We start from the raw sequence: 27,724 nt of genomic DNA on the forward strand, positions 1-27,724 counted from the left end.
GCAATCTGTTTCTGTCTAAATAATTTCCCAGCAAAAGTCACTTCTTTTGAAACTATATGATTTGAACCACAGGGTATGCACAGTGATTGTGTGCTTTCAGAAACACGGTAAGCATGACAAATATTTTCAGTTGTCAAGGGTAAGCGAGGAGGGAATGACCCACCTAAGAAATGGAAACTAACAAATAGTAATATGACACTCCCCCTTAGTTCCACAGGCTGGTGCGGCTGCTACACGCAGCTCACTTCCTACGGGCGGCTAAAGGCGGTGCATGAACTGAACGTAGGCGGCCTCTTTATCCCCTCCCCACAACACTGTGGGGTGGCACGTAAAGACCTCAAGGGAAGGGGGCCTGGGCGATACGCTCTCCTGCTGCCATTCATTTGTTCAAGAAATAGTTGAACAAATGAATAGTTAAACAAACTCTCCAACTAGGACTCTGTCCCATTCGGATACCCTACGCCTCTCCCCCCATTTCCATCCCTAGGCATCACTCCCTCGTCAAGAATATGCTGATTATGGCTCGCGCCCCCTCTCTCCCTTGGACCCTCCCGCCAGGGCGACCGGACGAGGCCAGCGGGAGCAACGCCTTCCGAACCGCAAGGAAGGAGGGCTCGGAGTGCGCAGGGCGCGGGTTCGCGGGACCCTCCAGCGCGCGGGGCTGGCCAGCCGGGGCGGGGCCGAGGGCACCGGGCGCCGAGCTCCGGGAGGGGTCCCCGAGGTCGCGCCGGCCGGGAGGGGCAGCGGCGGGAGGCGGCCGACTGCGGCGCACACGTGGGGAGGGCGGAGCGGGGCGGGAGCCGGGCGAGGGGCGGTGACGGTACCTGATGAAGGTGGTCTTGCCGGTGCTGTACTGGCCCACCAGCAGGATCATGGGCTTGTTCTCGAAGTCGGCGTCCTCCAGCGCAGGCGAGTGGAACTCGTGGAAGCGGTACGCCTCCTCCAGCGGCAGCACCTTGCGCAGGTAGAGCGAGCGCAGCCCGCCCGTCACCGTCTGCACCGCGTCCGCGCCGCCAGCGCGTTCGCGCCCGCCCGCCTGCCGCCCCATCCAGCTGAACATCCTGCCGCCAGTCCACGCTCGGATGGGACCCTGCTCCGGGTTCGACTCTCCCCGGCTCGCACTGAGCCGCCCCGGCCGCGCTGGCCGCCGCCCGAGGAGGGCCCCGCCTTGTGCTGCCACAGCCAGTCTTCGGCCGCTACGTCACGCGCGCTCGCCCACTATTCAGACGAGCTCTCTCAGGTCCTTCCTGATTGGATCTCTGCCAGAGAGGGCTGAAGGCGTCAGCCAATTGAGAGGAGGTTCTTAATGAATTATTGATGACGGAGTCATTCTAGAGGACTGGGCGGGGAGATGGTGTCTTCCCGGCCGGGTGGCACTGACCGGTCATGCTCAGGGCCCCCTTCTGGTTGCCGGTGCCTCACCTCTGGCCAGGTGGCATCGGCTTCCGGGTAAATCTGAGCTGCCCAAAGCGAGCCTCCGGAGGCTGCTCCATCTCCTGGAACGTTTACTCATTCAGGCCTCTGGACGTCGATACTGGGGATGAAAAGTTCAGAAAGTGGACAGGCAGGTTCTGTCTTCCCGGGGGCGGGTGGTTATGACTCCGTTTTACAGGCCAAGAGACCCAGGCTCACGGGCATAATTGACACAATCTTGAGGGGAAGTGGACTGGAATCTATTTGAGTAGCCGTTTCTCCTACTTCTCCACATTGCCCTCACTAAATTCTGGATCAGCTAAAGGCTTTTTCCCCTTAGTTTTCTTTATGTGTTTTTCTGTAAAGCCGAAAATTTAGTCATTACTCTCATTATTACATTATCCTCATTATTACAACTTTATTTCCACATATTGACATGTGAGTCATTGTCACCTCCTAGCTGTTTTTTGTTGTTGTTGTTGTTTTCTGAGACGGAGTCTCGCTCTGTCGCCCAGGCTGGAGTGCAGTGGCACGATCTCGGCTCACTGCAACCTCCGCTTCCCGGGTTCAAGCAATTTTCCTGTCTCAGCCTCCTGAGTAGCTGGGACTACAGGCGCTCACCACCATGCCCAGCTAATTTTTGTATTTTTAGTAGAGATGGGGTTTCACCATATTGGTAAGGCTGGTCTTGAACTCCTGACCTCAGATGATCCGCCTGCCTTGGCCTCCCAAAGTATTGGGATTATAGGCGTGAGCCACCGCCCCTGGCCTGTTTCTTTTCTAGGTTAAAAGGATACTCACTTATCTAAGTTGAGATTGGGGGAAATAATCACCTTTTGTGTCCTTGATTGTAGCTTAGGAATATTTCTTAGTTGTTTTAGAGCATTTCTCAAGTGTGATCCATGGGGCCACCTGCATATATGCATTTATGAGCTGGGATGCTTGTTAAAATGCAGATTCCTGGTCTTCAGTCCAGACCTACTGAGTTAAAATATTGAGGAGAGATGGAGCTCAACAGATGCCCTAGGTGACTCTGATGTGGCCTAAGTCTGGGGAAACAGTACACCCTGCAGTACTTCTCCAACCTAACAGAAATGCGGATTCTGATTCGGTAGGTATGGGATGGGGCCCATGACTCTACATTTCTAACAGGCTCTCGGGTATTGCCAATGCTACCCATCCCTGGACCATACTTGGAGTATGAGAGAACAGGACTTTGCATCAAAAGATCTGGGTTTGAACCTTGACTATGTAAATTAATGGCTGTGTGATTTTAAATGTGATGAGTTACCTCTCTGCCCTAGTTTCCTTAAGAGCAAAATGGAAACTCCTTTGGAGTTGTTGTGTGGGTCACATAGTTGGAGGGAATTGTATGTAACTAGGGAAGTGAAAAGAAAGCCAAGGGAAAATAAAGTTAGACATCTGCCTTGTGTCAAAATAAAACAAAGATTGAAATGTAAAAAGAAAATGAAACCACTGCACTACTAGAAGAAGGTACAAGAGATTTATACAATTTGGCGGTGGAAAAGCCTTTCTAACCAACATTAAGGACAGAAATTATGAAAGCAAAGGCTGACATATTTGACAACAAAAGTAAAAGCTTCGATGTATTTTTTTAGAATACATAAAAACAAACGGATATAAATACAATCTTACCATATGATGCAGAAATCAGCTCCTTAGTATTTACCCAAATGAATTGAAAACTTATATCCACAGAAAAGCCTGTACATGGATGTTCATAGTGGCTTTATTCATAAGTGCCAAAAATTGGAAGCAACTAACATGTCCTTCAGTAAGTGAAAGGATAATCTGTGGTACATCCAGACAATGGAATCTTATTCAGCACTAAAAAGAAATGAGCTATCAAGCCATAAAAAGACACAGAGGAAACTTAAATGCCTATTACTAAGTGAAAGAAGCCAATCCGAAAATGCTATGTACTGTACGATTTCATCTTTATGACATTCTGGAGAAGGCAAAATTATGGAGGAAGTAAAAAGGTCAGTAGTTTCTAGGTGTTAGGGAGAAGGAAGGAATGAACAGGCAGAGAACAGAGGATTTTTATGGCAGTGGCTCTACTTTTTATGGTACTATAATGATGGATACATGTCATTATATATTTGTCAAAACCCACAGAATGTACAACACCAAGAGTGAATGTAAGTGATAATGACTCGTGAATTTCAGATCAGTTTTAGGTTCACAGCAAAATGGAGCATAAAGTACCGAGAGTTCCCATATACCCCCACCCTCCCCGACACACAGCCTCCCCCACTATCAACATCCTGAACCAATGGAACATTCGTTACAATCAATAAACCTAACCTAAATAGATACATCACTAAATTAACTTAAAATGGAACTAGATATAAAACTAATATAAATGTAGAACTAAATGTAAAACTTAAGATTATAAAACTTCTAGTAGAAAACACGGGAGAAAATTGTTGTGAACTTGGGTTAGGGAAAGATTTCTTAGGTGACACCAAAAGCACAATCCTTAAAGGAAAAAAAAGTTGGTAAATTGGATTTCATTAAACTTGAGAACTTCTGACCTTTGAAAGTACTGTGAAGAGAATGAAAAGACAAGACAAGGCACAGAATATACTTGCAGATCACATATCTGATAAAGGACTTGTATCCAGAATATTTAAAAACTTCTTAAAACTTAATAGTAAAAACCCCAATTTTAAAATTTCCATTTAAAAAATGGAAAAAAGATCTAAACAGATATTTTACAAAAGAAGATGTATGGATGGCAAATAAGCACATGAAGACATGTTCAACATTGTTGTTTGTTAGGAGAATGCGAATTAAAACCACAGCAAGATACTACCACATACCTATTAGAATGTCTAAAATTAGGAAAGACTGATCATGCCAATCATTGATGAGGATGTGGAGCAACTGGAACTCTTACACATTGTTGGTCAGAATGTAAAATGGCACAACCACTTTGGAAAACAGTGTGGCAGTTTCTTAAAAAGTGGAACGTACACTTACCACATGACCCAGCAGGGGAGGAGCAGAGGGAAGGATTGCAAAAGGCACTGGAAAGCTTTTGGGGCTGAAGGGTTTATTCATTACCTTGATTGTGGTTATGGTTTCACCATTGTATACATATGTAAAAACTCATGAAATTATGTACGTTGGATCCTCCATATCTCTGTGTTCTGTATCCATGGATTCAATCAACCACAGATGGAAAATATTTGGGGAAAAAAATGGATGGTTGCATCTGTACTGAACACATACAGACCTTTTTTCCTTTTCATTATTCCCTAAGCAATACAGTATAACAACTATTTTCATATCATCTACATTAATAATAAGTAATCTAGGTAGGATTTAAAGTATATGGGTTCCTGATGCATGGCGTTTTAAGTTTAAAAGAAAGTATGTGGAGGATGTGCTTAGGCTATATGCAAATACAATACCTTTTTTTTTTTTTTTTACAATACCATTTTATATAAGGGAGTTGAGCATCCATGGTTTTGGTATTCCCAGGGGTCCTGGACTCACGGATAAATGTACTTTAAATATGCACAGTTGATCATATGTTTATTACACCTTGATTAGTTGTTAAATATGGTCATACTTTTTGACTCAGGAATTTTTATCTTGAGGAAATTTATCCTGAGGGTATTTATACTGAGGAAATGATTAATGTAAATTTTTATCTAAGACGATGGTTGTCAGCATGGAGCTGTCTATCATCATGGAGGATTAGTTAAGCAAATTATGGGTTCCTATGTGGTTACTGAAAACTATGTCATTTGACAAGAATATTAATGATGTGCAAAAATGCTCAGAATATATTTTTAAGTGGAAAAAGGCTAGATTACAAAAGTGAATGTACATGCAGCTGCTAGGGAAAACAATATGGAGGTTCTGCAACAATTTAAAAATAGAACTACTGGCCAGGTGCAGTGGCTCACGCCTGTAATCCCAGCACTTTGGAAGGCCAAGGCAGGCAGATCCCTTGAGGTAAGTAAGGAATTCAAGACCAGCCTGGCCAACATGGCAAAGCCCATCTCTACTAAAAATAACAAAAATTAGCCAGGCATCATGGCGGGCACCTGTAATCCCAGCTACTCGGGAGTCTGAGGTAGGAGAATCACCTCAACCCGGGAGGTAGATAGAGGTCGCAGTAAGCTGAGATTGTGCTACTGCACTCCAGCCTGGGTGACAGAGCAAGACTGTCTCAAACAAAACAAAACAAAAACTACCATATGATTTACCAATCCCCAATTTGGGTATATATTTAAAAGAATTAAAAGCAAGCTCTCAAAGAGGTATTTGTCTACCCATGTTCACAGCAGCATCATTCATAATAGCCAAGAGGTGGAAGCAAGCCAGTGTCCATCGATGGATGAATGGATAAACGAAATGTAACACACACACACACACGCACACAGAGGAATATTATTCAGCCTTAAAATGGAAGAATATTCTGGTACATGCTACACCCTGGAACACGGATGAACCTTGAGGACATTATGCTGAGTGAAATAAGACAGTCACAAACAGCCAAATGCTGTATGATTCCACTCATATGAGGTTTCTAAAGTAGTCAAATTCACAGAAGCAGAAAGTAGAATGGTGGTTATCAGGGGCTGGCGGGAGGGGAATGGGGAGTTGTTCAATGGGTATAGAGTTTTAGTTTTGCAAAATGAAAGAGTTCTGGAGATCTGTTGCACAACAGTGTGAATATGCCTGAAACTGCTGAACTTTACACTTCAAATTATTAAAACGGTAAATGGTGTGCGTGTTTTCTACCACACGTCTTTTAAAGTGGACGTACAGGATTTTTGTACTTTTGTTTTAAACAGTTTAAAGTATCTAAGAAAAAGATGGGAAGGAAAAACCCCCAAATAATAACGATGTCTGAGTTTTGGACTGGTAAATGATCTTAGTTTCCTCTTTATAAGCTGTAGCATTTTTCAAATGTTACACAGTAATCACGTTCCTGTTATAAAAGCAGAAAAAATTATCAGGAAGAAAAAAATGTACTGTCTTTAATCTTAAAAAAAAAAAAGAAAAGAAGAGAAAGTCCTAAAAGCGCCTGGCCCAGAGGAGGCACCAGTCCCATCTTGCTTCGCTCCCTGCTTGCCTTCATGCAGTTGCAGCTTTCTTATTTATTATTTTTGTAGGCACATAGTAGGTGTGTATATTCATGGGGTAGCAGCAGCTTAATTTATTTTTGTGGGCACATAATAGGTGTGCATATTCATGGGGCAGTGACAGCTTTTTTTCTTATTTATTTTGTTTTTGTGGGCACATAGTAGGTGTGCATATTCATGGGGCAGTGACAGCTTTATTTTATTGTTTTTGTGGGCATATAGTAGGTGTGCATATTCATGGGGCAGCGGCAGCTTTCTTATTTACTTTATTGTTTTTGTGGGCACATAGTAGGTGTGCATATTCATGGGGCAGCGGCAGCTTTCTTGTGCTTGCTCTACCCTCAATGAAGCCAGACAGTGGCAGATCCTCCCCGCCATAGTCATGTTGCATCTGTTTGCAAATCATTCTGCTCTTTGGTTTTCTTTCTTCAGACTAAACAGTCCCAATTGCAGTCACTCTTTCATCTGAATCCAGTTGTTTTTCAGGTCAAATCCTATCACAGGCAGTTCTACAAGGGAATGCCACTAGTTGTTCGGAAATCTATTGTATTGAATGCACGCTTGAAATTAGGAAGCTGGTAATAATGGTCAGAAGATTTGCTCTAGACCATGTTCAGTGGTTGGCTTTAAATGGTGATCAAGTCCAGTGTTTTACCCTGAAAACTGGATTGCAGAGTGGTTAAAGGCCTGGGAGACTCGTGCTGAGACCAGAGGCAGTGCTGTGGCCTGGTGCTCTCACACGCTGATGGCCTTTCTCTGTGGCCACTCACCCAAGTCACTGCCACCACCCAGAGGAGGGGCTTATAGGACACACAGGTGGAGATGGCTAGGAGGTACTTGCAGGAAGTCTGCTAGCTGCGTATAAATTGTCCTTCTTTCGCAGCAGAACTCTGATTTTTAGGTGGGCATATTGCCACCCATGCAAAAAACAAAAACTTCCAGCCTCCCTGCAGTTAAGTGTGATGATGAGACCAAGTTCTGGTTGGTGATATGTTAGCTGCAGGATGTGTGGGACTTCCAGGAAGTCCCTTTAAGAAGGAGTTCAATCTTTTTTCTCCTTCCTTCTGGTGGCCTGGAATATGGGTGTGATAGCTGGAGCTCCAGGGCTTACCCTGGACCATGAAGCCAAGGACCACATAAGGGTGGATAAAGCAAAGAGCCAGAAGAAGCAGGGTCCCTGACGAATCGTAGGTGTGCCTTGAACTGCCTTCCTGTGGATGTCTTTTACATGAGTGTGTTTAAGCCACCATTTTTCAGAAATAAACATGCAATTCCTAACCAATAATCAATTTGTTACCAGAAATGGAGTCTGCCACAACGGAACCTAAAATGTGACATGTGCTCAGCGGACAAGGGGGAAGGTCAATATTAAGGATTCAAATATTGTAGCTGGAATTTAAAATATGGCTGCACAGTTCTTGACATGCCCTCCATCCAGAGATGGGTTCATTGTCCCCTCCCCTTGAATCTGGACTGGCTTGTGACTACTTCTGCCAATAGATTTCCATGGAAGTGGAGCTACGTAACTTCTGAGGCTAAGTCATAATGGGCCATGCTGCTGCCACTGTAACAGACACTCTTGGAACCCTGAGTGCCATTTAAGAAGACTGACCATCCTGAGTCCATCATGCTGGGGTCACCAAGGTGCTCTGATTGACACTCCTAGCTGGGATTGCCTTTCATCTTTCACAGACTTCCCAGCCCAGGCACCAGACACAGGAGTGAAAGAGTCGTTGGACGAGGGCCCTTCAGCCCAGGCTGTTCCCAGATCCCAACCACTGGAGTCCTCACCAGCAGTTCAGATCATCTGACCTGTGGCCCCAAACATGGAGCAGTTATGCCCTTTTCAAATTCCTGACCCACAGAATCTGTGAGCATAATAAAATGGTGGTTAATTTATGCCATTATACATTGAGGGCTTTTGATGCTCAGCAGTAGATAACTGGAACAGCTGGTAATTCTTACTATGTTAAGATAAAAGTTTAGTTCTTTTTCACAGAGAAGAAGTCCAGACATAGGCAGTCCAGGACAAGTTTGGTCACTTTGTAGTCAGCAAGAACGCAGATTCCTTTATCTTCCCTGCTGCCTGGAATGTGGACATGATGGGTGGGGCTCCAGCAGCAATATTGGACCAGATGGTAATCTTGAGGATGACAGAAGAGAGCAGAAAGGAGCTTTGGTCTCTGATAATAGAGAAATAACTCTCTCTCTTGTTTAAGCCACTGTAATTTTAGATCTTCAGGTTATACGGCAAAAGCATTGCTAATAGGCACAGAATTGGAATTCATGGGTTTAGAACCAGGAGATTGGCTTGGCTAAAGCTAAAAGGTTAAGAATTTTCAAATTAGAAGCAGTAGTTGAAGTCCTGGGTATAAATGAGGTTGCTTAAGGAGAGTACAGAGTGAGAAGAGGAAAGAGCTAAGGAGCCTCGAGGAATGGCAGCAGTTAAAAGAGAGGCCAGAGGAGGGGCTCCCACCTTTCCAGGGGAAGAAACCCGAGACAGAAGGTGTTCAGTGAACACGACTTCTTCCCCTCTGTGGCTGGGTTGGGAGCCCTTCCTATGCCTCTTCTGGACACAGCTAACATGCAGCTTTCTCTTCATATCACAAGGGCTCTGTTTTACATGAGGGCCTCCCACATGGGACCAGAAGGAACCTCCTTAAAGTTTGGAATCAATTGTTAATTCTTCTTGTGGCCCCAGTGCCTACAACAGTGACTGGCATGTAATGGGCAGGCAGTAGTTATTTGCAAGCTGAACTGAATTGAACTGCTTTTGGCAAGGAAGTCCTGGGAAGGGAAGGTTTCCAGAAGGAGGGAGTGGTCTGCGGTGCAAACACTGAGAACAATCAAGTCAGATAAGGCCTTTACAAGACTGGTGGGTTTGGCTCAGTGCATCTGGCAATGAGGAGGCCATTGGTGACCTTGAGGAGAAGTGTTTTCGTGGGGAGGCAGCGGGGACAGGGTAACTGGTGTGTGGGAGCGGGTGGGGTGCTGGTTGCTCTTTTGGGAAGAAAGGGTGGAGACAAGGAGGGACGGGTTTCATTCATTTTGTCAATTTCATCATCTTCATCATAGGCAGAGAGCAGGGAACTGGGAAGGGAGCCTCCCCTGACTTCTGCAGGATACCATGTGCTTGCCCTGTCAGAGTTGATGACACTTTTGTCATTTCCTTAGCCAACTCACCATTTAACTTCTCATGTATGCATAACAATCTTTTCATGGTTTTCTCCCGAACCAAAATGTAAGTTCCTGGAAAGCAGAGACTGTTTACAGCTTGCTGTGCACAAAGTAGGTGTTTCGTTGGTGTTAACTGCCTCTGTTTCCTCTCAAGCAATGTTTCCTGAAATATACCTGAGCTTGGAACAGCATGGATCTGTACGAGCTGGTGCCCCACTAGTTGATGACATGGCTTCATGAAAACAGAGGAGCACCTCACCACTAGAAGAGACCCTTGCAGTAGGAAACAAAGCTGCATGAGAAAAGGTGGGATGGGATGGAAACGGCCTACTCACTCCCCCAGGAGTGGAGAGGAGGAAGCCTGAAGGGATGAGGGCAGGGTTATGCATATTTTGCAGCATCAGATAATGAAAGCAGATGAGTCAGCAGCATTCACCCACATGGCCATTTTATTCCATGCACAAATAATATGATGATTTTATAAACCTCGTTTCACAAACTTTTGATGAATCCAAGGCATGGCTGCCTTCGCCTTACGATAAACAAGTCCTGTCTGTTGCTTGGCTCACTCTTTGATACTGGAAGGAGAGTCTGTTGCAGTCAGAAAGAAAAGATGTCAAAGTGGAGGCAGCCAGTTGCTCTGGTGGAGGGGAGGGCTGGTGTCCCAGGTTAGCATTACCTGGATGGGGACCAGTTTTGCAGGTCCAGAGCTCAGTTTATCAGTGGCTCAAGGGAGCACTGATTCATACGTTCCAAGCTCATGGGAGGGAGTGGCGTAAATCCAGGCCTCTCAAACTTCAATATGCACAGGAATCACGGGGGGCGCCTGGGGATGGGAATCTCCTGAAAAATGCAGCTTCTAATTTAGTACAGCTGGGCTAAGGCCTGAGATTCCGCATTTCCAACCAGCTCCCCACTGCACTTTGAGTAGCAAGGATGTACATCGGAGGCCAATTTTTCTAAACTTTTGGTACCTGTCACCACTGGTTTCCTCACAACCCAAAGACTGCTTAGGGAGCATGGTGGCCCAGAAAGGGGACTCCGCCTTCCAGGGTTGCTGGGTTTCCTGCAGACCTCATGTCTTCCTGCCTTTCTGCTTTCACCTTCTATCAGCCTGGGCCTGTCAGTGGCTCCGGTTATACATTTCCTTGGTTATGTTCCCAGCCTGAAGGGAGACCTGCTGACTTTGGGTTTCTCTGTGTCCCAGGGTTTTCCCAGAGATTCATTAGGAAGCAATCTTAAAGGGCGGGCTTCTTCCTCTGACGGCTAACCTAGTCCTTTTTCACTAATTCTTCCCAGTTTCAGTCTCTGTGGGTGACTCTCCAAGAGTTGGAATGCACTGGTCACGGTGTTGACAACACAGATAAGAGGAATCACATTTAGAAATAAGTAATCCCATGAGGCAGCCAGAGAGATGGGCAGTAAGAGGCTGAGAGATGCTCTTGGAGCAGGGTCGTCAGTGAGCACCGACAGCTGGAGTGGGCAGCGCTGGATGCATCGCCTGCCTGGCCCCCAACCTCATTTACCCACAGCCTGCCTGACCTTGCTGAACTCCATCCCAGATCCTCATTTGGTGAACCTGGGCTATAGACTTAGGCTTTGCCTGGCATTTGTTTGGAGCTGGATGCTTGGGCATGGCTGTCTGGTCATGATGACATGGATCACCAGCCCTGGAGCTCTGGGTAGCTGGAGAGAGCCACTGAAACCGGCCACCTATTTGGCTTTGTTGTGGCAGAGACTGGCTTATTTCTAGGGCTCCATCTAGATCTTCTAGCTTCATGCTTCCTATTAATACTCCGATTCATAAAAATAAAAATCATGAAATATAATTGCCTATAAAAATAATGAGACTAGGGCCGGGTGCGTTGGCTCATGCCTGTAATCCCAGCACTTTGGGAGGCCGAGGCAGGTGGATCACCTGAGGTCAGGAGTTCCAGACCAGCCTGTACTAAAAATACAAAAAATTAGCTGGGCATGGTGGCGGGTGCCTCTAATCCCGGCCACTTGGGAGGCTGAGGCAAGAGAATTGCTTGAACCTGGGAGGCAGAGGTTGCAGTGAGCCGAGATCGCGCCATTGCACTCCAGCCTGGGCAACAGAGTGAGACTCCGTCTAAAAAAACCCAAAAATCACAAGACTAGAATTGCCTTAAATTTTGAAGTGTTTTTCCAGTGAAACGCCGAGTGCCTCTCAGGTCCTTCTGTGCATTTCCCTAGGCCCGCCACACGAGGTAGAGGACAGAGAGAGGAGGGCTGCCAGCCCTGGGCTCTGCCTCTGAGTCGAGGTTTCTGGGGGCCCAGCCTCTTCCCCAGGCTTTTCCTCTCCACAGATGTGTGGGAGCCTGTGGCTATGAGACCACCTTCTCTATAGGGAAGCACTTGAAGAAACTCTAGTGGGTATAAAACCCCAACAGAGCTCCTCTCTCTCTCTTTCTGACTTTCTCAACTTTTTAAAATTTTTTACTTTTCGTTAGAAAGCCCAGGCCAACCTGCTCACACCCATTGCCGGAGAGCAGAGCTGGCTGCGTAGTAACCTGGTCAGCCCTGAGGGGTCCTGCACCTCTGATGGTAGAAGCTGACACAGAACAGGGGAGGCTCCCTGGGGCCTAGGAGGGACACTGGCCCTTCAGGCGCTTCTTCTTCTCCACTGCGAGCCGCAGAGCCTGGAGGAGAGTGTCCTTATTATTCAGGATGTTATACTCTGAGAGTTTCACCAGCTTGTCAAAGGTGGCCTCTGTGTATGTCAGCTCCTTGGTGGCATAGGGAGTTTTGGGACCATAAATGTCCACCTGGCCCTGCTCCAGCTCCTCAGGGCTTCGCTCTACACCTGTGGGCAGCAGGATGACTTGTTATAGACTCTGTCATGTTAGGTTGGAATGACTTGTTTCCACATCTCTCCCCAAGGCCCACCAACCTGCACTCACGGACACACACACCTGCATGAAAACCTGTACACACGCACACCCTCACACACGCACCTGCACACCTGCAAGCTCCTCAGGGCGTGGTGCAGGCTTGCCCATTGGAGGATTGCCCTAGCACCAAGCACAGTACTGGGCACATGGCTGAATGTCAGAAAATGTAGAATGACTGAAAGAATGGGGGATGACACTACCAGCCCATGGGGGTGAGGGAATGGGAGGCGCCCTTCTTTGTGGAAGCCAAGGTTGGCTCAGGCTGGAGCTGAGCCAGGCTTCCCCGTTAGTGCCCTTAGAGACTCTACAGATCTAAAGGCATTCCCGGGCCAAGGGCAGCAGGTGCTGGGAACTGAGCACAGAGGCAGCTCACCTGGTGCCTTGTATTTTCGGAAAGTGTCATTGATGAGTGGGAAGAAAGTCACGATGGGGGCATCGGGTTCCTGGGGGTTCTCCATCAGGTAGCATTCCTTGAGATTTTCATTCTCATCTGGCAGCTCGTATTTGGGGAAGGGGATGTTCTGCACAGTGCAGTACTCACAGGTTTGTTTCAGGGGCTGGAACAGCACAGAGGGCGTGTTTGAGCATTAGGAGGAGTGGGAGTGGAGGAGAAGCACAGAGTTCTTAGCCCCAGCTTCCTGATTTCCCCAGCTAACAACTCAGCTCCCCAACTGCTTTGCCAGTGTATGGTATTTTGAGACTAAAGCCAGGTCAGGACAAAAGGCCCGAGGCAGTAGGTGGATGCACCTCCAGTTGCAAGCTGCTTCCCCAAGTAAAATGGACAAAAGCCCTTTCGTTGGTGTTCGCATCCAAACACAGACTTGGGTGGATGTGGTGGGTAGCCTGGAAGGGCGACTGGAACCAGGCTATACACAGCCAGAGCTGCCCAGGCCCCTGTGGGATGTGCATGGGCTTTGGAGCTGACAGTAGTACAGGGCTAGAAAAGACTCTGCAAGGGCATCTCTAAAAGCATGATGTCGCAGGAAGAGCACTGCCTTAGAGTGTCAGAACCCCCTCAGTTCTGCCCCTCGTTCCTCTGCTCACTAGCTGTGTGATCTTAAGCAAGTCTCTCTGTGTCTTGGTTTCCTCATCCATAACATGAGAAATGATAGCAGTTGTGCCGTCTCCCTCCAAGAGCTGGTGTAAGGGCCAAACAAGATCACACGTAGGAAAGTGCATTGTTACCCATTTACAAACTTAGATTGTTTTCATTGTTGCCCTGTTGGTCTGTGTACACTTCACTTCGCCTGGCTTCAGGGTAGAACTGTATACACATAGAACTTTCCAAAGTAAATTAAAAAAATAAAAACTTCTGGTTCTGACAAGTGCCCTCCTCTCTCGCCAGGCTTCCCTCCCACCTGAGAGCACTTGAGTGTAATTCATGGAGGGTCATATACCCTGGGGGAAGGGAGAGTGTGATCATTTTGAAAATAGGATATTACAAGCTCTTGAATGGAATGGGCTCTACTAAGGTTATTTTTAAAAACTCATTTTTTGTAGCTGAAGAATTGCCCAATATGGCAAATGCTCCAAGGCAAGAGTAAAATTCGAATTTGCTAAGTCAACATGGGCACCATGGTGTGAGAGCCAGCTGGCTGCCCGTGAGTTCTGGGTGTCTGACTTCCCATCATGACTGCTGCTTGGCTTCCTCTGATGCTCTCTGGGGGCTGTCTAGAGCATGCCTCTTCCCAGTTCACAGCGAGTGAGGCCACTGACTGCGGGGCCCATCTTAGGAGAGGCTGCAGCCCATGCTCAGGAGGGAGGCTGCGCACTTGCCTTTGTCTGGGACCCAGCACAGTAGTTGAGGTGGATGATGAGGTCGGCTTTTCGCTCTGGCCTGAGGAGGGGCGGGTAGCTGGAGTTGACAAAGAACGCAGTGTCCAGCAGGCACAGGTGGTTCGCGGACTCGGTCAGCTGGTTTGGGAAACCATCTAGCACTGTGTCTGAAAGCCAAGCCTTCCCGTTACCAACACACCTGGTGCCCTGACAGCCAATGGACAGAGGCACTTGGGGGGACGGAGCGCCCTGTCTGGAGCATCCTTCGCCTCAGCCTGACCAGGACGCCCACTGAGTTCCAGTGCCCTCTGGGTGGCTGAGGAAGAACAGCGTTATCTTGGGCTTTTAGCTAGTCTTTTATGGGATATTGATACTTGTGGGGTATAAGGGGCTTAAGACCACCCCATAAATAGTGTAAACCCTGGGCCCTGAGTCAGCTGTCCCATTGGCCCCAGATGGTGAGGATGAGGCTTAACAGGCCAGGCTGAAGCAGCCATTTGCAGGCCACGGCCAATTAAAATATTAAGAAGGCGAAAGTCAATGCCTTAGGGCCTCAGCAGCAGAGGAGGCGGCACTGAGCTGACGCTGCAGGACCACAGTTTAAGGCCTGGCTCTGCTGCTTACCACTTGGGGGTTCCTGAGCTGGGCCATCCCTGCCCAGTTCCAAGCGGGCACCACTCACATTTTTTTTTTTTTTGAGACAGGGTCTTGCTCTATTGCCCAGGCTGGAGTGCAGTGGCGTGATCATGGCTCATTGCAGCCTTGACCTCCTGGGCTCAAATGATCCTTCTATCTCAGCCCCCAAGTAGCTGGGACTACAGGTGCTCATCACCATGCCCAGCTAATTAAAAACAATTTTTTTTTAAGAGATGGGGTCTCACCATATTGCCCAGGCTGGTCTCAAACTCCTGGACTCAAGAGATTCTCCAGCCTCGGCCTCCCAAAGTGCTGGTGTTACAGGTATGAGCCACTGTGCCTGGCACCACTCACATTAAAGGGCATCCCCAGAACACAACTGCAGAAAGTAAGACCCCCTGTTTCCCCATCTGTAACATGGGGCCAACTTCTACCTGCTAGGACTGTTGTACAGATTCTGTATAGAATGACTGTACAGATGCAGTGAGTTAAGTACCCACACCACTCCCTGCTGCCAGACACATACAGTGTTCAAGACGACACCACCAAATGTGGAAAACACCATGGGGAGAGAGGTGCCTGGCCCAGTGAACATAGCCAGAGAAGTTTTCTTATTCTTTATCCATGGCAGCCTTGACATCCACATCTTCCTCCTCCATATGGAGGCAGGCCTCAAGGAGTAGCCAGGTAGGGTTACCTTTCCACCTAGAGAACTGGCCATTCTGGAGGTAGTTGGTGTGCAGCTGCAGCCCAGACAGGAAGTTGTGAAACTCAGACACGAAGGACCGATGGGTAAGGATTTCTCGGAAAGAATTGGACAGCCATGACCCTGGGATCACTACCGTGGTCTCCAGGATGTTAGCATCACATTTGGGGATTTCAGGCAGGATCGGCTCGTCTTCTGCAGGGGAGGGAGGGATGAAGGGCAGGTCATGAGAGGTGGAGTCCCCAGATTGCCTATGCGAAGCCCCACATGGTTGCCTGGCACCCAGGGGTGAGCACTGTAAAAGCAGCTCATACCTTCCTTGCTGGGCTCTCAAGGTCCTGGCACTGGGGTTAGGAGGATTCAGGTGAGAGACATGGAGTAAGCAGAGAGGTAGTAGAGAGGGAGGGGGAGCGAGACAGCTAAGAAGCGTCCTGGAGAGGACAGGGAGTTTCAAAGAGTGACCTGTGACTGCTATAGACCCTACTCTCCTCACTTCTCCTGGGTGCTGGCAGCCTTGCCTCCAGGCCTTGGCGCTGGTGTCACTCACCTACAGTCACCCTCCCCTCCAGGCAGGGAAGACACTGTAGCCCCAGCTGCCCTCCCACGTCTTAGGCCATAGGTGACGATGCGGAAACATGTGGCAGGGGGCCTCATCCTCGGTTTGTGGTCCACACCCCGCCCCCCATCACCCAGCCATGAGGGAAAGCCGGGGGCCGCCCCCCATCACCCAGCCATGAGGGAAAGCCGGGGGCCGCCCCCCATCACCCAGCCATGAGGGAAAGCCGGGGGCCGCCCCCCATCACCCAGCCATGAGGGAAAGCCGGTGTCACCCATCACCCAGCCATGAGGGAAAGCCGGGGTCACCCACCGATGTCCTGCACTTTCTCCCTTGTCCACCTGTGGAAAAACTCCTCCGAGGTGTGTGACAGGTTCCAGGCATCCAGCAGGTTCAGGGAGAAGATGCTGCTCCACAGGCCTGGGAGCCAGGGCCAGCGTGAGCAGCTCCACCCTGCAGCCCCAGGCCCCACACTGACATTTGATTCCCCACTCCCCCCACCCCCCCACCCCACGCAAGCCAGGCTGCTCCACAGGCGGGACAGACTTCAGACTTCCATGTCCTTCTCCCCTTCCCACTGCAGCTCAACACAGTGACTGAGGGGCTCAGCTCTCAGCTCTTCTCTTCCCTCCCCTCAGTGCCGGGAGACGTAAAGGTGTATAAGGCACAGCCCCGGCAGGGATTTAATGCTGGCAAGTGCAGGCTTTGAGTTTAAGTCCAGCTGCTGTCAGTGAATACATCTAAAGCATTTAGGGCAGCACCTGGCACATGGCGAGCACTCAATAAATGCAAATGCTATTTGTTATTATGATTTTTAAATGTAGGCATTAGACATTGACCCATTTGGAATCTCTATAAGGTGGGTTTTACTCTTAAGCCTAATTAACTAAGGAGAAGATGGAGGCTTCGACAGGTGAGGCAATCTGGCCAACTTTACACAGCTAGTGAGTGAGAAGCCAGAGTTCAGAGTTCAAGCCCACGTGTTTTGCCCACAGTTTTCTAAACCACATGCTCATCAGCATAGGTGTTCAGGGGAAGGAGAGGCCACCGTGGGCTGGGGGCTTCTGGGGGAAGAAGTGATGGGACTGAGTTGGATCTTGCAGGATGGGTTGGTTTGGGATAGACAGAAGGGGAAGGCACAGACAACTAATTTAAATAAGGGCGTGTTGGGGCTGTGAATGTGGGTCTGTTTCTGAAGAAGCCCTTTGACGGGCGCAGCTAAGACTCTGAAGGGAAGAACTCGAGTGGGTCCTGCATTCGGTGGGCCCAGCTCATGAAGAACCGAGGCGCTTAGGGTGGGAGGCTGGGCTAGGCTTCTCTGGTGACCCTGCCCCTTACCCTGTGGTCTCCCTGGACCCTCGGGTCCCAGGTCTGGGTTGGCCCCTGGAAGCAGGCACACTGCTGGCCGAAGCTAGACGGGAGTGGGTGGGAGTTACAGAAGCTTCCGTCTGAGTCTGCTGTTCCCAGTGTGGTGCTGAGCAGGCTGCAGGGAGACTGCTGGAGACCAGGAAATTGGGAGAGCCCCCAGACCAACTCTGGTCCCCAGTGACTTGGGACCACTCCTAGGATGAGACAATGCTGGCAAGTGCCCCGAGTGTCACATAATCAGGGGCCAACCCAGGGTGGCCCAGCACTGGGCAGCAGCCCCCTGTCATTCCGCCAGTTGCAAGGCAGTCACCTAGCATGTAGCAGATTCGAGACTCCGGGATCCTCTTCACCAGCCGCCCCATGAAGAACTCGGAGCCGAAGAGCTCGGAGGGGATGAAGGCCCCATACTTCTGCAGGCCCACCTCGTAGGGGGAGAACTCGAACCACTCTGCACATGAAGCAGCAGGACGGGGGTCAGTCTCAGGCCAGGGAGCCGTCCACACAGCCGGGCCCCCCTCCTGCCTGCAGCCACTGGCTCAGGCCTTGGAAAGCCTGGGACAGGGAGGCCGCAGTTCCCCCAAAGGACACATGGGGGCACCCTTGGCCAGCTTCTGCTGGTGTAGCAAGGGTCAGCTTTGCCATGCTTTGCAAGGAGGATGGCTCATTTGCACCTCAGAGCCTGTTGAATGGGACAAAAACTGACCCTGAAGCAGGGCAGCTCTCTCGAGTCTCTCTCTCTCTGGGCAGCGTAGAAATATCTTCCTTTCACAACCTTTGTCTTCCCCAGTGTCATTAAACACATGCCCAGGGAAGCTGCAGACAGTGCCTGCCGGCCTCACCCATGCAGCAGGGCAGATTGGGGTAGCAAAGGTGATTTCTCCAGCTGTGTGCACAGTCTGGATGTAGAGGTTGACAAAGATGAGTGGGATTGGGGGACCTGGAGGTGCTGGGTGCTTTTGCCCACCAAGAAGTCCCCCCCTCCACCCCACTTGTAAATCACCAGCCACTGGTGTTACCTCTGAAGTCCTGGTTGCTTACATCATCCTTGACATTGATGGTGAGGTAGATGGGCAGGGGGTTCTGGCCGCAGCTCAAAGCAGCACGCTGATCTGACAGTTTGCATTCATTTCTCTGTGGGGAAACAAAATGGTTAAAGAGAAGCAGCAGCCCAGAGGGTGAGGGAGGCAGTGCAGAATGAGAAGACAATCTGGACCCCCGCAGCCACTTCCTGGCTCCTGAGCTCACCGGGCTGCTGTATCGGCCCCAGCTGACACCAGCCAAATCACTCTGAAAGGGCACCAATGGCATAGGCACCACCCCCTCGGGCTGCCCACCACCAGACAGGGGCCGGGACTGGATCCGCAGTTTAGGACAGTCTCTCAGAGTCCCAGGGTCTTGGTCTTAGGGGTCAGCAGATAAAGAGGAAGGGGTGGGAGAGGCTAGCACTGCCCCTCTTCTGCCCCATCGTCTTCCCTCTGCTAGAACTGGAGCAGCTCCATGTTTAGCATCTCCATTTTTTAAAAAAAATCAGCTTGGCATGTTGAGCTCCCTCAACTGAGGGGTAAAAAGTTGGGGGAAAAGAAGTTTCCCTTCCTCCGCTCCCCTGCCCTCCCCTCCCTCCCTCCCCTCCTCTTCCCTTCTTTTTTTTTTTTTTTTTTTTAACAAAAGACTTAGGACTTGAACACTAGATGGTTGCTGAGGTCACTCTAATCCCCAGAGTGGGGAGCCTTTCAGATCAGCCCGGGCCACAGTCCACCTCCCAAAGTGAATCAGCCACTGCAAACGAGGCAGAATCAAGGTCTTAGAGGCCCAGGCTCTGACCCCAGGCCAAGCAGCTGACTCCTGGGTGACCAACCCTGGTCACCCCAGTGTGCAAAGGCTACAGAACCTGTGTGGAATGGCAAACACATGTATATGCCCAATGACATGTGGGTCTCCTTTGAAAGAAAACAGGGTCATAACTGGGCCCAGAGATCTGGGCATCACAGAGCCCACTGTCCTGGAAGTAAAGCTGCAGGCTCAGGGAAGAGCCGGTCCACATTCATTGTCAAGGTGGCCCAAGGGAAAGGGGCTCCTGTCCTGGCCAGAGCGCAAGAGCAGAGGCCTCTCAACAACAACCCTGCCCTTGCTTTCCTGGGAACCCAGCTCCTTCCCACCAAACCCCCAGAATGCTGAGACTCCTGATGTCGGAAGACTCGGTGCTTCCTCCTCATCATATGCGGCACTCATGATTGTTACAATATTGTTGAAAATGTTAACTAGCACTTATTGATGTAATTCCCACTTAAGGAATAGTAAAGAGCAGGGCCTGAATTTCAAACCCATCCTGACTGAATCCCAAGGCCGATGCCCTTGGCCTCTGCCTGCTCTGCTTCATAGGGAGGACAGGTTAAGTGGTGGGTTATCACAGGGGCAGGGTGGGTGGGATCCATCAGAAGTGGCGAGGGCCTGGGGTTGGAAGCCATGTCCCATTCCTTTCTGAATCCCCATTTGCCAGCGCAGTTCCTGGCATGCAGGAGGTACTCAAGTAATTTAATTGAAGGAATGAGGGAAGATTGAAGATGAGGGTCCGGTCATTCTCAGGTGCTCAAACTGTCTGGCTTTCTGGAAGATGGAACCTACTATTATAAAAAATAATTGCTGCAATGACTTTCTGGCAAGTTCTGATTTGAATTCAGAACTCCCCGGACACCTTTGGAGTGGAGCAGGGAACCGTGGGCCTGGACAGAGGTGGGAAGCTCTCCTCTGGGGCCAGGCAACAACAAAAGTTGTTAATCTCGGCTTGTGCAACCTAAAGGGCACAGATGTCAGCTGAGCCCACCCTGATGTCCAGGATCGCAACACCCCTTGGAGATCCCTGTGCTGTGCCATGTGTCCAGGAAAAGGACCACCCTGTGCTGGGTAGCAGCTCTCACAGCAGCAGCCACCCAACACAGGCTGGTCCTCTTCTTGGGCACGTATTAGTCAGATCACTGGATCTCAGAATAGGAAGGAACCTCATTGGGCCCACTGGTGGCCATGAGAACGGGCCCTGCAGACCTCCAACTGTAGAGAGTGTTATTGACTGAGGACCCCAGCTGCTGTGCTCTGAAATCCACAGCTGAGTCTGTGCTGAGGCTGCACTTCCTGTGACTGAGTGGGGCAGGGATACTGAGGCTGGCCCGTTCTGGGAGACGCGGGACTCCTGTGACAGCCAGCTTTGGCTGGAGGACCCTCCAAGGGCCTTGCAGACCACATGGTGGTCTGGGATGCTGCCGCCTGACCTTTCTTCCTCTCCCCACCCCTAGGGTCAGACTCGCTTCATGGCGTCACTGCTCTCCAGTCTTCCCCGGCTTCCTCCCCGTTTTTCCCTCACAGGTGTCTTGGCGTGGCTCTCAGAGGACGTGCTGCCCTAGGCAGGTTTGCCTCCAACACGAGGGTCTCAGCCATCCTCTAAAGGGTACACGGGAGACAATCCCACCACCTTCCTCCGTCATAGAGTCCGACACCTTATCGGTCTTCCAGCCCAAGGATACTCCCGCAGGTCTAACCTAATCCCCTGTGTGCAATGGAAGTCCTGACTCCCCTGAGGAAGAAAGAGAGCCAGGCATCAGCCAGGGCAGGGTGGGGCCCAGGAGAAGCCGAGCACCTACCTCGTCCCCCAGGCAGGTCTCTATCAGCAGGCCCCAGAAGTCTGTAAAGGTGACCCTGTAGCCTTCCTGGCTGCGCTGCCGGAGCTCCTCCTGGAATTTGCGGAGCTGGTCTGGGAACAGGGAGGGTAGCTTGTCCTTTACCACATGTCTCCGAGCCTCAAAGATAGCAGGCTCCAAGTTTTTGGAGGACCAGTCAGGGTCACGGTACAAGGTAGCCATGGTCCTGGAAAGAGACAGGCACAGCTGATAGGGCTGACCCGGCCCCTGTCTGATGAGTCCTGGACCCGGGCAGGAGGGAAGGTGGGCAGGCCATTGAGAACCCTAACCTGCCAGGAGGGGAACCTGGAGAGTAGGGGTGAGGCAGAGACCTGGCAGACAGTGAGGAGCAGGGGAGGTGAACATTATTACTCATAATCACAAGTGCTACCAGTTCTCAAATGCCCACTGTGTGCCAGGCATAACAGTGGTTAAGATGAAGATTCTGGATCCAGAACTTTCTGGATCAAGCCAGGCTCTGTCGCTCACTAGCTGTGTGATCTTGGGCAAGCTACTTAATCACCGTTCCCTTCAGTTTTCCTGTCTGTGGAATGGGGAGAATTACAATAATTGTACCTGCTTCACAGAGTTCTGGTGAAGATTACATGAGTTAAGGTGATGTGGGGTAGCTAGAACAGTGCATGGCACAGAACAAATGCTGGAGCCCACATTTAAACCCAGGCTCGACTGATTACAGGTCCTGGCTGTTTCTACTCTGCCATGTTAATTCCTATAATTCTGATGTTGACTGAGGATTTATTTCCCTTTCTCTTCTTAACTTACATGTTGGTTGTCGGGGGGAGCAAAACAAAGAGGTGATCCCACTAGCCCTGGGTCTGGCCTCAGTCTGCCTCTTCTTGGCCTGGATCCAGCTTTTCTGCGTCAGGACAGGAAAGGGCCCTTTTCATTCTGCGCCTGAGAATGACCTCCCTGGCAGTGCAGCTAGTCTGCGGCTGCACATTTAAGGAAACAGGGGCCTCCTCCCTCACAGGACTTGCTTTTGGGAAGGTGGGAGGTGGTCAGGAGACTTTTCAACAAAAAGCACCCTGCTCTCCATAAGCTTCACCCATTCATTTTATACTTTAAAAAAGCTTCCAGAAGCCATTGCAAATGAGTTTTTAAAAGAATACGACTTGTGCTTTCCCCAGGCCAGGGGACCCCACCCATCCCACCCCGGCTGGGCCTGAGTTCCTCCTGCTATCTGTCTATCGCATAGTAGTCCGGGAGGACGCAGGTGCCCCTCAACCTGCTGGAAGCAAGTTACCTTCTTAACCTACTACCGGGGGCAGCCATTTAGCATGGAGGTTAAGGATGTGGGCCCGGGACTAGGTTCAAATTCTACTCCACTGCTCATTAACTGAGTGTCCCTGGCAAATTACTCTGTTTCTCCAGCTGAAAAATAATGACAATGCCTCTCTCATAGTTTTTTGTGAGGAAGAAACAAGATGAGCCATAGGAAGCAGTGACTCCAGTGCTTAGCAAGAGGCAAATGTCTCCTTCTGTCTCACCTGGGCTGGCGCCTCTGCCCCCCGGGGGGGTGTGTGGCACAGGAGCCCTTGGCTTTCCAAGGCCCATTCACATCCATTTGCTCACACGGGGGCTACCCAGAGCTCCTCCAGTATACAAGGCACAGCAAGGGACCTCAGGGCTCACAGGCCCACCAGTCACAGACAGGACACGGCCCTGCTTGATAGGCCACCCTGAACCAGGGCCACGCAGGGTTTTGATGGGCCCCACAAAAAATGTTTATATGTTTTTTATTTTTGTTTTTTTTAAAGACAAGTCCTCCCTATGTGGCCCAGCCTGGTCTTGAGCTCCTGGCCTCAAGCAAGCCTTCTGCCTCTGCCTCCCAAAGTGCTGGGATTACAGATGTGAGCCACCATACCTGGCCACATAAAAAATATTAAAATTTATATTTCATGCTGGCCACATAAAAAATATTAAAATTTATATTTCATGACTGTTGTATAAAGACAAATGTATTCATATTATTTATTAAAACATTTTCTTCAACCTATAAGTTTGTTAATGAAATGATCCTGATTTTAAAAGAAATTAACCTATTTTTGTGGGCCCCTAAAAGTACAGTGAGCCGCAGGCACTGTGCCTTCTGTGGGTAAGCTGACCTCACCCTGGCCTCCCTGTGGGGGAACCCAGTGCTCAGCCCCTGGCCCTGCTCACCAGCAGAGGGTGAGAAGGAGGGAGCTCAGCTGCAGGGCCCTGCCCGTTGCATGTCCCCAGCAGTATGGGGTCATGTTCCTGGGTCCATACCACAGCCCCAGGGAAACAGTAACACCAGGAAAGGCCAGGGCATACAGTGTCTCTGGCATACTTAGTAGCGGGAGAGCGTCTTACACCCACCGCATGAGGTCAGAGCTACTGTTATCCGCACTGTGCAGATACACAAGCCGAGCCTCCAAGGAGTCAAGCTGCATGCCCAAGGCCACACCACTGCATGTGGGGCACTTCCCAGGCTTCAGGAGTCACTTTGTCTTTGGGTGGCGGGGAGGAGCTTCACCTGAGACCCCAGGCCAGCCTGTTCGTGGCTTGCCCTGGGCTCCACAGACAGTGGCTCATGTCTCCTTACCAGGTGGCCCCTGATAGACCGGTGATGTAGCTGGCACAGTCCAGGAGGTTCAGCTTCTGCAGCCCCAGCAGGTGGCCATACATGGAGGTCATGGATCTTGTTCCACCCCCAGTGGCCATGATGGCTATCAGCGGCACCTGGGGTTACACAGAGGCAGGCGGTTGGGGAAGGCTCCAGAAGCAAAGCTTGGGAGAAGACTTAGAATGACGGCAACTTTGAAAGAACAATGGAGGAGGCAGAGCTGGCTACAGAGGGCAGGGAGTGCGGCGTTGAGCCACCTGACACCTGCCTTTCCACAGAGCAGTGGGTCTAGAAATAGACCTCAGCTCCACACCCAGAAGTTGGTGTCAGTGAAGGACTCTGAAGCCTAACACAGGCTTGGTAAATCACAGAAAGCTGTGGCTAGCAGAGTTCTTAGCACTGTTAGTCTAGCCCTCGGTTAACAGGTGATAAAACTGGGGTCCGAGGGTGGTGGGCAGCTTGTTCAAGAACCCTACTAATGTGCGATCCCTCAATGGGACAAACCAACATCTTCTGTAGCTGGATCTGAGGGAAGGCACCAGGCCTGGCACATGGTGCCTGCTCAGCAGGTACTGTACTGGCAAGGCCAAGAGTCAATGGACTGGTGATGTGGGAAGGAGCAGGGTTGCCAGCTCTGGGTCAGCAGAGGTTTAAGAGGCCCCTGGAATGTTTCCCTAAAGATAGGGCCAGGTACAATGGCTCACACTTGTAATCCCAGCACTTTGGGGGGCCGAGGTGGGCAGATTGCTTAAGCCCAGGAGTTCAAGACCAGCCTGGGCAACATGTAGAAACCCCATCTCTACAAAAAAATACAAAAATTAGCCAGGCATTGTGGCTCATTCCTGGAGTCCCAGCTACTTGGGAGGCTGAAGTAAGAGGATTGCTTGAGCCTGGGAGGTGGAGGCTGCAGTGAGCTGTGATGGTGCCACTGCACTCCAGCCTGGGTGACAGAGCAAGACCCTGTCTCAAGAAAAAAAAAAAAAAAAAAAAAAAAAAAAAGGAGGGAGGAAGGGGCTCTTTGTCAAGACTCATTCTGTCTGTTTTCCTTTGAGTGGGGGCTGTAAGAACCTTCCATTGGCTAAAGCGCTATTACAAGTCCTCCTCGGGCACCCGCCAGGTCTCTGTCCTCACCTAGGGTCAGCCTCAGAAAGCAGGCGCTTGGAGGGCTTGCCTGCTGCCCAGGCGAGTGTGGGCCTTGGTCCACACAAGGGAGGCAACAGAGGGCTGTGACAGAGGCCCACCGTCTGCTCCCGTGGGAAGAAGGGGCGGTCTGGCCCTAGGAGTGCAAGTTGCTTCTCTCCAGCTTCCTAGCGCTGTTATTTCTGGGAGTGTGTTTACCTGTGCGGATTTGAGAGGAGAGACAATTGAGGAAAGAAGGACCTAAGGCCTTTTGGGTGGAGGTGTGGGGTGCAGAAGGTGGTACAGCTTAAAATGTTTTCCTGGCTGGGGTGAGGAGGGCATTTTATCCCTGAGTAAGGCCCCTTTAGCCACAGCAGGAACTCTTAGTGCTTGGGAGGAGGCGCTGGGGCTCTGTCCTTTCTGTCTCCATTTTGCTCTCCCCTTCTCTTGTGAATATAAAACAGAATCACTTCCAGCACAGCTCTCACCAGGGCGCCTGTACCTCAGCAGTAAAAGCATCCATGGAGGTGGCGCCTGGGGTAGGGCAGGGCCTGGGTTGGCTGGGAGGGCATGGTGCTGGAAGGACCAGCTGGGCCCAGGCTGGCCACATCCCTGATTACCCACCTCGTCCTCCTGCAGGTCTTCCTCCAGCTGCAGCACCTGCTTCAGGGCCTTGGCCACCACGACCTTCCGCTTCTGCAGAAACTCCAGCTCTGCTGGGCACAGGCTGAAGCCCAGCCGCACGTCCAGTGTCTCAGGGCTGGAGGGAGAGAGGACCCTGTATTGGGCCTGCAGCCTCTACCTCCCTGGAGTAGACACAGCTTCAGGGTCCATTGGACCTAGGCTCAAAGCCTACTTCTGCCAGCGACCACTTCTGTGACCTTGGGTCTCCACTTTCCCATCTGTAAAGTGGGGCGAATCGTGCTGAACTCTCAGCACTGTCTTCAGCACTTAAAGAGATAACAAATGCAAAGCCCCCAAAGCCTTAGCTGGCACAATGCGAGCTGGTACTCAACAAAAGATAACTGTTGGCACTGTGTTAGGGACGCTTTGAGTCCTCTGTCTCCTCGGCCAGATCTGGAAAGTCCAGAAAGTCTTCCCCCAGGTGGCTTCTCTAGCCCAGGGCCAGGCATGGGTGACAAAAGGCGCTGAGATCATTTTGCCAAATCCCTCTGAACAAGGCCCCACGGTATGGACTCTTCTGTGCTAGGTAAACAAACTCCCTGTTCCTATGGAGCTCACGTTCTTCAATGAGCTCTTCCTGCTCCTAGAATAACAATTATTCTGTGTGTGTGTGCAATTGACAAAAACCATCCCATTCCTGATCTCATTGTGTCACCTCATAGTCTGCAGGCAGGTGGGGCAGGCACCTCTGTGACATGCACAATGCTTGTCCTCTTTTTTTTTTTTAATCACATCCCTGCCCCAAACAAGTCCAGGCTCCTGGCCTGGCATCCAAGACCCTGCCTGATCTTTCCAAGCTCACCTCAAACTACCCGCGAAACTTCTGGGTCAGGTCCCAGAGCTCCCAGAAGCAGTCCTGTTTCCGGGTCTTGGCACAGGCCCCTGCCTTCACCAGAAGTGTCTTCCCTTTGCCCACCTCCAGCCTGTGCATCCTCTGAGGCCCAGCTCCCCAGTGACTCCAGATGAATGTACCTTGACCATTTCCAACTGAGCCTTGGCTCACTGACAAAGCCACATCTCCTTGAAGGCTGGGCCTAGGAGATTTCCATCATGTCTCCTCTTTGTCCAGCACAGGGCTGCAGACATGGCTGTTAGAAAATAATTCTTTCTTTGGCCTCAACAGGGAATGAATAATAATAATACAACAACAATAATAACAATAACATTAGCTGACGTTTGCTGAGCATCCCACTTGCCAGATGGATTACTGAGTACTTCGCACGTGCTGTCTAGCTGGATCCTCAGAGCAACCCAGTGATGCACAGGATCCTTGTTATTCTCCCAATGTACAGATGAGGAAAACAGAGACTCAGTAAGGGCAAAGAGCTTTTCCAAGGGCAAATAGCTAATCAAACTGTCAATAGAAATCATGGCCACTTGATTTCTGACAATCAAGATTTCTGAAAACGATGTTGTTTTCAGCAGATGGTGCTGAGACATCTGGATATCCACATGCCAAAGAACGAGGTTGAGCCCCTCTTTTACACCATGTAGATTGATTACCTAAAAATTGATCATAGACCTAAATGTGAGAGCTAAAACTAAACAAGTCTTAGAAAAAAACATGGGAATATATTTTCAGGACTTTGGTCGGGCGCGGTGGCGCACGCTTGTAATCCCAGCACTTTGGGAAGCCGAGGAGGGTGGATCACTTGAGGTCAGGAGTTCGAGACCAGCTGGCCAATACGGTGAAACCCCGTCTCTACTGAAAATACAAAAATTAGCCAGGTGTAGAGGTGTGCATCTGTAATCCCAGCTACTGGGGAGGCTGAGGCAGGAGAATCGCTTAACCCAGGAGACAGAGGTTGCAGTGAGCTGAGATCACACCACTGCACTCCAGCCTGGGCGACAGTGAGACTCCATTTCAAAATAAAATAAAATAAAATAAAATAAAATAAAAATTTCAGGACATTGGATTAGGCAATGATTTCTGGTTTCTTAGATATGACACCAAAAGCACAAGTGACAAGATAAA

At 50.1% G+C, this 27,724-nt stretch overlaps 2 protein-coding genes and 1 long non-coding RNA gene across 9 annotated transcripts in view, besides 3 other annotated features; 1 reads left to right on the forward strand and 2 right to left on the reverse strand.

The window, feature by feature from the left end:
• The window catches only part of EHD4 (EH domain containing 4), a 76,625-nt gene extending 75,502 nt beyond the window's left edge, over positions 1 to 1,123 (reverse strand). The window contains exon 1 of the mRNA NM_139265.4: positions 825 to 1,123. Coding sequence (NP_644670.1) covers positions 825 to 1,060 — 236 coding nt within the window. The 5' untranslated portion in view covers positions 1,061 to 1,123. The remainder of the gene's footprint in view (positions 1 to 824) is intronic.
• Positions 565 to 834: a silencer, noted in NCBI's record as "silent region_6369". NCBI's record gives its function as "represses an Ori minimal core promoter by ATAC-STARR-seq in GM12878 lymphoblastoid cells {active_cell/tissue: GM12878}" and the evidence as "EXISTENCE:reporter gene assay evidence [ECO:0000049][PMID:35858748]".
• Positions 935 to 1,004: a silencer, noted in NCBI's record as "silent region_6370". NCBI's record gives its function as "represses an Ori minimal core promoter by ATAC-STARR-seq in GM12878 lymphoblastoid cells {active_cell/tissue: GM12878}" and the evidence as "EXISTENCE:reporter gene assay evidence [ECO:0000049][PMID:35858748]".
• Positions 1,045 to 1,174: a silencer, noted in NCBI's record as "silent region_6371". NCBI's record gives its function as "represses an Ori minimal core promoter by ATAC-STARR-seq in GM12878 lymphoblastoid cells {active_cell/tissue: GM12878}" and the evidence as "EXISTENCE:reporter gene assay evidence [ECO:0000049][PMID:35858748]".
• PLA2G4E-AS1 (PLA2G4E antisense RNA 1) lies at positions 1,329 to 27,660 on the forward strand. The gene is made up of 4 exons (NR_120334.1): positions 1,329 to 1,564; positions 2,370 to 2,524; positions 9,871 to 10,022; positions 25,705 to 27,660. It is a non-coding gene; the product is annotated as a PLA2G4E antisense RNA 1 (long non-coding RNA).
• The window catches only part of PLA2G4E (phospholipase A2 group IVE), a 69,122-nt gene continuing 51,545 nt past the window's right edge, over positions 10,148 to 27,724 (reverse strand). For 2 of the 7 annotated variants that reach the window (NM_001206670.1, NM_001395548.1), the window contains exons 11-20: positions 25,690 to 25,825; positions 23,926 to 24,062; positions 21,303 to 21,525; positions 18,687 to 18,801; positions 17,981 to 18,118; positions 16,615 to 16,722; positions 15,738 to 15,941; positions 14,405 to 14,571; positions 13,002 to 13,185; positions 10,148 to 12,540 (exon numbers count right to left, since the gene is read on the reverse strand). In NM_001206670.1, coding sequence (NP_001193599.1) covers positions 12,320 to 12,540; positions 13,002 to 13,185; positions 14,405 to 14,571; positions 15,738 to 15,941; positions 16,615 to 16,722; positions 17,981 to 18,118; positions 18,687 to 18,801; positions 21,303 to 21,525; positions 23,926 to 24,062; positions 25,690 to 25,825 — 1,633 coding nt within the window. In that variant the 3' untranslated portion in view covers positions 10,148 to 12,319. Of the gene's footprint in view, positions 12,541 to 13,001; positions 13,186 to 14,404; positions 14,572 to 15,737; positions 15,942 to 16,614; positions 16,723 to 17,640; positions 17,714 to 17,980; positions 18,119 to 18,686; positions 18,802 to 21,302; positions 21,526 to 22,121; positions 22,215 to 23,925; positions 24,063 to 25,689; positions 25,826 to 26,721; positions 27,414 to 27,724 lie in introns of those variants that run through there. The other 5 variants (XM_011521238.2, XM_011521239.2, XM_047432158.1 and 2 more) reach the window with 5 other exon arrangements.

This window comes from Homo sapiens, chromosome 15, assembly GCF_000001405.40.
Source record: "Homo sapiens chromosome 15, GRCh38.p14 Primary Assembly".
Taxonomy (NCBI): Eukaryota; Metazoa; Chordata; class Mammalia; order Primates; family Hominidae; genus Homo; species Homo sapiens.